Below are 9,580 nucleotides of genomic sequence, written 5' to 3'. Positions count from 1 at the left end.
ACTACACATCCTAAGTGGGTGCCAGTTGGGCATGCCAAGATCTATTCTGTGTGTGCATGTGTATGTGTGTGTTGCACACATTCCATGCTTATATGGTTCACTCTTTATTTTTCTCTCTCTCTCTTTCTTTTCGAAATAAAAGCTGGTCTTCCATTCTGTGTAGTGACAATGCAAAGAGCTATTTCTGCGAGTTCCTCCTAAGGGCATTTGCCTTGAATACATGGAAATCCTCAGCAGCAGAATTTTTCTGACATGTTACCTTGATCCCTGGAAGACATTGACCTTCAACTCCCTGAATTTCAGCAGAATCTTTATGAGTTCCAGAAGCATTGCCAGTGCTAAGAGTGAAATTCCAGGGACTAGACTTCACTGGGTGATGGCAGTGTCTTCTCACTCAGCAGGTCCTGGCAGTGCCTCTGGCAATGGCAGCCCTAAGTGGACCAACCAGTGCATGGTGGTACAATTTGGGCTGCAAAAGTGGTGGTTGGTGAGGGGGCAAAATGTAATGGTCAGGATCCAACACAAGATAGAAATAAATAGGTCTTGGTGATAGCTTTGAAAATAACCTGATGGTTATCATATGTTATTAGTTAAGTCAGCCAGCCTCTTTTTGCCCTCTTTTGCCGCTTCATAAAAGTATTCTGAACCAAATGATGGTGGGAAATATTGCATTATTTGAGTTTTCAAGTGACCAGAGCATAATATCAAAGGAGTCATCTTCAAATTAGTTATTCATGGAAACTCTTGCCAATTGAGAGCAAAAGGAAATTATAATTGAAGATTATGGTGATTTGTTTTTGTGTCTAGAGTATTGACTTTCATAAGTGTGCTGAGTAAATGCATAGTAAAAATTTCACAAAATCAGACTGTTAAAAATGGGAGGGGAAGAAAGATCAAAATCTTGTAGAGGAGGGAAGATAATTAAACTACAATCCTAAGTGCTTACTGCTTTAGAGTATTTAATTTGGCTCTGAGCTTCTTAGTAGTAGCCAAGTTAACAGAAAAAAAGGGGGTCTGGAGGTGGCATGCATTAAACTTGTAAGGATGACACATGTAGAGTGCCTGCCATGGTGCTTGCCAACTAGTATATACTCGTATGAAATATCAAATTATATCATGGATAATACTTGAACTTCAATTCTACATAAAGTGAAGTGAGGTTCTTTATATGATCTTGTCTTGTTACCAACTCTGGAATGGAAAAAAATTGCAGAAGACATAATAATGAAAAGTAACCCAGTATGTTTATTGTTGGGGGCCTGAGCTACTATGGCCTATCAGTGGAGATTCTGGTGATGAATCCCAATGCAGAAATAAAGCTCAGGAAACCTAGAGGAATGAGTGGTTACCACACTCTGTAAGCTAATTTTCCCAAATATCTAGTGTGTCAGCCAACTTTTGATTAGAGCAATTTGAGAGGACAGGACAACGAGGTACTTGAAAATGACCCTATGGCCATAAACACCCCTGAATATGTGGCCCCTGATGCTTTGGGCTTTAGTCTATATAGCTCTTATCACCCTGCAGGGCAGTTTGTTTCCATTTCTGTTCCCACCTCTAAGTTGTGATGAGGCACGATGTGTGGGTTTATTCATCTTTGACTCCCCATAGCCTAGCAAAGAGCTTGGTACATGGGCACAGGTGAAACACTGTTGGAAGAATGAATGGAAGGGTAGAAAAGGCAGTGCTTCTCTTTCCCTTCTGGGTTGGTATTAAGTGTCATATTTGGACTTGGATTTGTCCAGAGTGAACGTTTGCTGCCTGCATTGCATCATATGTCCAGATCACAGCTGTCTGTTTTGCTTGAAGGGCTTGTTCTAGTGTCAAAGCTGGTTGAGCAATGGATGGCAAGTTAACTCCTTGTTTTATTTAAAGTCATTCTGATTCTTTGATTTGATTCCTCATTCAGTCTACAAATATTTATGTATCTACTATGTACCTGGCTCTGCTAGCCATTTTTCAGTTCAGCATGCAGCCCAGTGACCTATGAGACAACATATTAATACAAAAGGATTCTGAAATTGTCTCCATTGTGATGAGATGAGTATACCTGTTGGAGTCTCTCATATGGCCCCTAAAAATAGTTATTTTATATCTGAGGAGGTGATTGTTTGTGATTTCTATAGCCCATGTATATTAATGTAAATTCCAGTGAGATTCACTCAAGAATCTCTTGTATCCAAGTAGTAGGGGAGTTGAATATATTTAGACCGGTGAGCTTCTGATTTAAAATGTTCATTCTCCAATTTAAGTTCCCAAACTTGTTAGTCAATTTTGGCATTTAAACAAGTGGGGGGGAGTATCCAAATCACTGAGTCACAAGTAATATATTTCCATATCTTCCTCTCAGGAACCTGGCCAACTGACAGCTAGAATAGTGATCTATGCTCAATGCTAATGTTGTTTGGTCCCTACTGTCCTAATTTCAAAGGACTTTGAAGTCTTTATATACTGTCAGCTCTTGTGCAGTGCTATTTTTATTGAGTTGAGAAACTGAGTTCTGCTGTGAACTTCAGGATCTTTTCCAAATAGCAAATCAGGGGAGTCTGGAATTAGGACCTAGGAACCTTGACTGTCCTGAGAACCATATTGTAGCTTTTCCATCATGACAGTCAGTCCTAACAATCTGATATACTCCCTGGAAAGTGTTTCTGATAGATGTAGATGTGCTTGATAACAGGGCTCATCTCCCTTGCTCAGACACATTAAATTTGCACAGAAGGCAGATCTACCTGTAGCAACCCAGAATACTTGCATTTGAGGCTTTTGCAAGAAGATAATCTGTGATAATCTTGTACTGTCTGCTGGTCAGTGCTTACCAGAAATTAAATGATATTGGTATAGTGGTTTAAATCTTTTTTTTTTCTTATTTTTTTTTTGCGACAGAGTCTTGCTCTGTTGCCAGGCTGGAGTACAGTGGTGCAACCTCGGCTCACTGCAACCTCCACCTCCTAGGTTCAAGGGATTCTTGTGCCTTAGCCGTAATTACAGGCACATGCCACCACACCCAGCTAATTTTTGTAATTTTAGTAGGGACAGGGTTTCACCATGTTGGCCAGGATGGTCTCGATCTCCTGACCTCGTGATCTGCCCACCTCAGCCTCCCAAAGTTCTGGGATTACAGGCATGAACCACCACTGAAATCATTCAGTTGATTTTATTGATTGACCAACATCCATCGATATGTTTAAAATTATTCTAAGAAGCAATATTTTTTATTTAAAAAATCTTTTATGGCAAAATAATTTAAAGGAACTTAACGAAAACCCTCTGTGATATCATCTTACCACTTTATGTGCTAAAAGCAAACAGTTGTTTGCTATTTGTCAGACAGTGCCTTCTGTCTATTAAAGCTATTTTTCCAGTTACTACTCATTCATTTAAGGCAGTGAAGGATCTTGAAGTATATTCTTTTAGCAGTTAAGATATATTGAATTGTATTGAATAGCTTATTTTATTCTAGTTATTTGAAAATTACTGAACAATGGACAATGTGCAAATCATTGACATCTGTCTCAGATCTGCTGAGACAATCGTGATTTAGAGATTAAAAAAAAAAAAAGAAGGCAAATTCATGGTCCAACTCATCACAGTGAAGAAACTTGTGGCTTACATATCTCAACTTACGTTTGTCTTGCTGATCTGCATGTTTTATCCAATTTTTATTTTTCCTAATCCTATTTTAACAAATACTATCTATAGTTTATTTCATATCATATGCACACATGCACAAACACCTCAATACATACATGTCTCTGTGTTCTAAGAGTGGACTGCAGACGAGGCATACACAATTAGGAAAGGATTGGTCTGGACTGAATTGCTCATTCAACTTCCTACTTCCCAAAGAGGGTCTTCAGGGAGTCATGGCTTCTCTTCTGTGATCAAGAATTTAGGCATTTATAAGAAAGTCATGAGTGACAAGTTTATTAAAACAAAAGTGTGGACAAAGGAATGTAGACTGAAAGCAGGCATATCTTCTTTATTAGGGAATATACTTACTTGACTCCTGGAGGCTCAGGAATGTTTGTGATGAGGAATGTTGACAAGATAGTCATGGTGTTAGTAGCATAATATATGATCCTGACATTCAGGAACCTGTTGAGTATTGTAACTCTTGTGACATGTTGTTCCTTGGTTCTCAAGATGGTTCAGATGTACTTCTTCCCTTTGCCATTTGTTTCTCTTGGGATTCTGTTTTTTCTGATTTCATCAATGTCTACACAAAGCAGGTGCTCAGAAAATAATGATTGATGATAGCAATCATAATGTTTCTTGGGCTTGGTCATCTTTTTGCACATTTCTGTCTTATAGTCATAAATGTCTTAACAACTGGCATGTCCATACTTGCAGAATCTGTCTCTGTGACAAGTGTGTGTCATGTTCTCACATACAGTGGAAAAGGCACTGCTTGTCTCTGGCTTCTGCTGTGATTCCCATGCTCAGCTTTTAAATCACAGTGAGAAATGCTACAGTCACCCTGATGTCCCAAGCCACAAACCCTGTCATTGTTTTCAGTCCCTTCTACTTGCTCCTGAATATGTTGACAGATCCTCTTCTTATATTATTACTTTTTGCTTCTTTTACTGCTGTATTTGTTTATTTTACTCTAGGCTCAATTATGTTTGGGAAATCTTGAGTTTAACAACTTGTAAAAGTTTCCAGAGCCTATTTTTATACTAGCATGCATTATAAATGTCCAAGAAAGGGGAGAGCAGGTAGCAAAATTCATTTGATCACCATTTTATTTGTGTGTGTGTGTGTGTGTGTGTGTGCTTGTGTGTCTAAAACCTTAAGTGGCAAAAGTTCAGCACAATAGGTTGTGAGGAACAGTTCACTATATCACACTTTTTAAAAATCAGGCTCATATGTTTTAACCTTTTAATACAGTTCATAAAAAGTGACAAATGACCAGTATCTAGCACCACAACAGAACCTTTTTGCTTTTTCACACACACACACACACAAACCCCTAGCAACTTGTATACAACACTGGCTAATGCTGCCTGTTGTTGAAGTGTTTTGCAAGAATGCAAAAGTCCTGCTAAATTTCTGTCCCTTTGAAAACATTATAATCATAATCTTTCCTTGACTTTCTTTCTGCTGTTTAGGTGTATTAATTTATATAAGCTGGAGAATGGTTTATTTCTGCTGTATTTCTGTTTACTTTTAAAATTTTACCTAGGCTTCACTGCAATTTCTGCTATACTTCTAACATCTGGAGATCTAGAATAAAGTACCTATATCTGAATTGTAGCTGCAACAGGGAATAGAATAAGGTTGTTTAGTCTTGTGTTATTTTTCTTTAAAAAAAAAGGAACCAAGGGAACCTTACACAGAAAATATTTTTTGAAACAAGTTAAGTTATGACCTATGTAGATGATAAACCTATACATTTGTCCTGTAATGTAGCAGTTATAAGGGATTTGAAAAGCATCTCATCTCCTTGAGGACTTGTGAGAAAAAGATCCTAGGCATCTGGCTTATTAATCTATCTCCCACTCTATGGGTTCATAAACATAAGGTATTGCTAAAGTGAAGCCATGCACTAGAATGTGGTGCACATGCATTCATGTATCATTGATTAAGAATATGTGTTTCAATTTATCTTTATTGAAGTTGCCACAAAAATCAAGCCTTATAATAAGTAATTTTTTTCTTCTGGAGTCTGTCCGTTGGTCACAAATGCATGGGACATCTGCCAAGTGCCAGACACGATGGTAAGTGCCAAGACACCATGGTAGAGCATTTAAAAATTCTTGTCGTATGGATGAGATGCTCGGAATCTTCTGGGGCAATCTACAGGAGGTGATTTAGTGTAGAGTAGTGTTTCTCAGCAGAGGTACTATTTGAGTTTTGAGCCTGGTAATTCCTCTACGCTATGGCATTTGCGGCCAGATAATCCTTTGCTGTGGAGGGCTGTCGTATATATTACAGGATGTTTAGCAGCATTGCTGGCTTCTACCCACTAGATGCCAATAGCTCCCCCAACCCTCCAGTTGTGACCATCAAAAATGTCTCCAGATATTATCAGGTGTCTACTGGGAGGCAAAACTGCTCCTATTGAGAACAGCTGGTGTAGACGTTTGGAACTGGGGCCGTGGAGTGGGAAATGTGTGGATTTGTATGCTGGTTTCACCTGGCTTCATTGCATGTGTTCAGTTTCCTCATCTATCATATGTGGAGATTAAATGAAATAATATAGTGCTTGAGTCACAGTCAAGTATTTCTAAATATTAGCTATTTATAGTAGTGGTAGCATTAATACTTTAGCAGACAATTAAAATATTTGTAAGTCCAATGACATAGTTAAGTACAATGTACATTGTGGGAACCCATAGGGGTGGGAGGGTTCTAGGCAGAAATAAATATGATATGCCTATGAAGTGAAAGTAAAAGTATGAAGCATTTGGGAAATTGTAAGGAGCCCAGCCTGACTCATGTGCAAAGGACTATAAATGAGGCCATTGGAGCAGGCAGGAGCCAGATGGCGAGGACCTTCCTGGGCACAATAAGGAAGATTGACTTTGTCTTGATAGCTTGAAGAGACTTAAGAATGTTCAGCAAATCAGATTTTTATTTTAAAAGAGTTCTTTGGGATAGGTCTTGAGTGAGAGACTGGAGGTGATGAGCCCAGTTAGAGACTCTTAGAATAGTCCACTGAGAGATGATGCCTGCTGGAGCTGAGGCAGTTATACATTGCTGTGATGTCTTTGGGAACAGATTTCACTTTCTCCGAGATGTGGCAAAATTTTTCTAATTTAATTCCAATAATGAATATTTTTAGCAAGCTAGCTCTACATTTGGGGGAATTTCAAGTTTAATTTGAAAGCAGATTACATGATAGATTCTCTTTAAAATGTTTTCAAGTGAAGCTTAATTTAAAGACCATCTCACAGCCTATTCATAGTTGAATATTACTTCAAGGGTTTCTCTGCCATTGTATGTACATGCCTATAGCTCCTCTGTCTGACAGGAACGTGTTTCTATATGATTACATTGAAATAGCATTGACATTGTCGTGTTGAGTTTCATTATTTAGTGTGAAGCATTTCAGTATTTAATGTTAAGTGATTTTCTAACTGATGGGGATTTTATTTCTTTAATGATCCAGATTAGAAATGGATGAAGATAATGAATGAATGAATGAATGCAGGAATGGGTGGCATTATGGAAATATCACCTAATTAAGAATAAAAATATTCTGGACAAGTCTCTTGGCTGATCTGAGCTTTAATTTTTAGTCATAAAATGATACTTGTAGGTATATTAGATAATTCCAAAGTTATCTTTAGCCCAGGGGTTGGCAAACATTATCTATAACAGGCTATATCATAAATATTTTAAGCTTTTCAGGACACACAGTCTCTGTTGAAACTCTCAAGTCTGCCATTGTAGTACAAAAACAGACATACACAATATGTGAACAAATGGTGTGGCTGTGTGCCAATAAAATTTTGTTTACAAAACAGGCGATGAGCTATAGTTTATTAACCCCTGGTAGCCCAACACTGTCTAATAGAAATAGAACGTGAGCCATATATGTAGTTTAAATTCTTCTAGTAGCCACATTATAGACAAGTGAAAAGCAACCAGTAAGGTTAAGTTCAATACTATATTTTATTTTACCTAATATATTTAGAATATTATTAACATGTAATCAATATAAAAATATTAAGAATATATTTTACTTTCTAAAGAGCTTTTGATATCTGGTGTGTATTTTACACTTGCAGCACATCTTAATAGCCACTTATGGCTAGTAGCTACTGTAATTTGATGACAGGACTCTAGAGTTAAAACTCTGGGATTCTATCAAATTCCATGAAAAAGTAAATTATATCATTAATTCAAGTGATTGAGACATTTTCTTTTTCTTGCCAGATATATTGGTTAGTAAAACACCATCTGCACTCAAAAATAAAATAAAAAATGCACAGTAGCTCAAACAAATGGAAGTTTATTTTTCACTCATGTGAGTTGAAAATTGCTGTTCCTGATTGATTGATGGCTCTGTTCCACAGTGATTCAGGGGTTCCTCTGGTCTTGGGCTCCTCCATCTTCAGGACATGGCTCTGAGGTCATGGGCTCATTGCATCAGACCGCTGAAAGGGGAACCAGAAAGTGAAGAGTATGCTGGCTTCTTAACCACCTTGGCTTGGAAGAAACACATAATCACTTTGCTCACATTCCCTTGGTGAGAACAAATCGCATGTCCCCTACCTAAATAAAGCGGGATGGGATGGGAAATATAGCTCCTACTGGGAAGCTGCTTTTCAGCAATGTGTCTGTACTGTGGAAAGGGGAGCAAGAATTTGGTGAGCAGTGAATTGTCTTTGCTACACTATGCTACTATTTTTTAATTCAATGAGGTAACTAAGTTCTACTTTTTGTGCCATACCACCCTCCTATCTGACCTAATTCTGTTTCCTTACTTCCTTCTCACCCTTATGGGGTCATCTTTAACCTTGCTAGACCTGGTTTTACCTTTTTGTCTTTGACCATCATTTTTATTTCCTTGATAAATCTGTGTAGTTCATAGTATGCAAAGAGTGTTGGGAACTTGCTGATGAATCCTCATATCATTATCAGCACATTATTAACATGTTTTTTTTTTTTTAAAGAGAACTAAAATTTAAAATAGAGATGTCAGAAAGCAAAGGCCAGACCTGATTCTTGGTATGTTGACAGAGGTACTGAACCCATTTTTCGTGGAATAATTTTATAACAGTTTTAGATTATTTAAATAAATGACTTTACATAATATCTTGACTTAAAAATACCAATTTTCCTAATATTTAACCTAGTAATTACTCTATAATTTCTTACTATAATGGGACACACACTTTTCTAATCCAAAAGAATATTTGCTTGTTTTCTTCCCAAATTATAAGTGTGTTTTATTAAATACTCAGCCAGGTCTATAGAAATGAAAGAAATATAAGGGACATGAATAATAAAAGTGAGGTAAGTAAAAAGAACAAAGAAAATCTTTTCTTCTAACTATGCATATTTTACCTTTTTGAAAACATTATTATTTTATTATTAAATATTTTAAGAAGTAAGACACAAAGGACAGACACATGCATTTTAGATTATTAAGAAATAAGACTAACCAATGATAAGAAGTATCATGCAGAGAACATATAAAAGAAAAATAAACAGTATGTGTCTTTCTATTTGACTGAATAAGGCTGTCTTCTACTTCACAAGCCTATTTCTGAGTTTAAATATTTTTTATAAGGGAAACTTGCAATATTAAGAAGTTAATTCTGATAATGTCGCTCAGGTACAGAATCTAGCCAACTATTAATATTCCATAATAGGTGAGAAATAATGCTGTCAATCCCCAGTGTATTTGTGGTCTGTGATTAAGGTCTCTAGGACTCAGCATATCGCACAGCAGTGGGCTCCAATTATGTCCTATTTTAATGCCCTGTCACGGAGCAGGGAAGAGAAACCCCCTTCTCTTATTGGTTGAGTGTATTGTGAGAGGGTGGAAGCTGGGGGTCCTGTGTCCTGGATTGGTTGGGAGCTAGGACATTGGAGAGAGAGAGAGAGAGAGAGAGAGAGAGAGAGA

The 9,580-nt window shown here is 37.3% G+C and overlaps 1 protein-coding gene across 52 annotated transcripts in view; it reads left to right on the top strand.

Moving 5' to 3' along the window:
• THRB (thyroid hormone receptor beta) overlaps positions 1-9,580 on the top strand; it is a 378,556-nt gene that overhangs the window by 3,589 nt on the left and 365,387 nt on the right. For 3 of the 52 annotated variants that reach the window (NM_001374824.1, XM_047448797.1, XM_047448816.1), the window contains one exon: positions 8,025-8,197. The exons of the other annotated variants lie outside the window; for them this stretch is intronic. The gene's annotated coding sequence lies outside the window, so the exon portion shown is untranslated. Of the gene's footprint in view, positions 1-8,024; positions 8,198-9,580 lie in introns of those variants that run through there. 52 annotated transcript variants of the gene reach the window in all.

This window comes from Homo sapiens, chromosome 3 (genome assembly GCF_000001405.40).
Source record: "Homo sapiens chromosome 3, GRCh38.p14 Primary Assembly".
NCBI lineage: Eukaryota > Metazoa > Chordata > Mammalia > Primates > Hominidae > Homo > Homo sapiens.
Note: the sequence above shows the minus strand (reverse complement) of the source record. Positions and strands in the feature narration are given on the sequence as shown.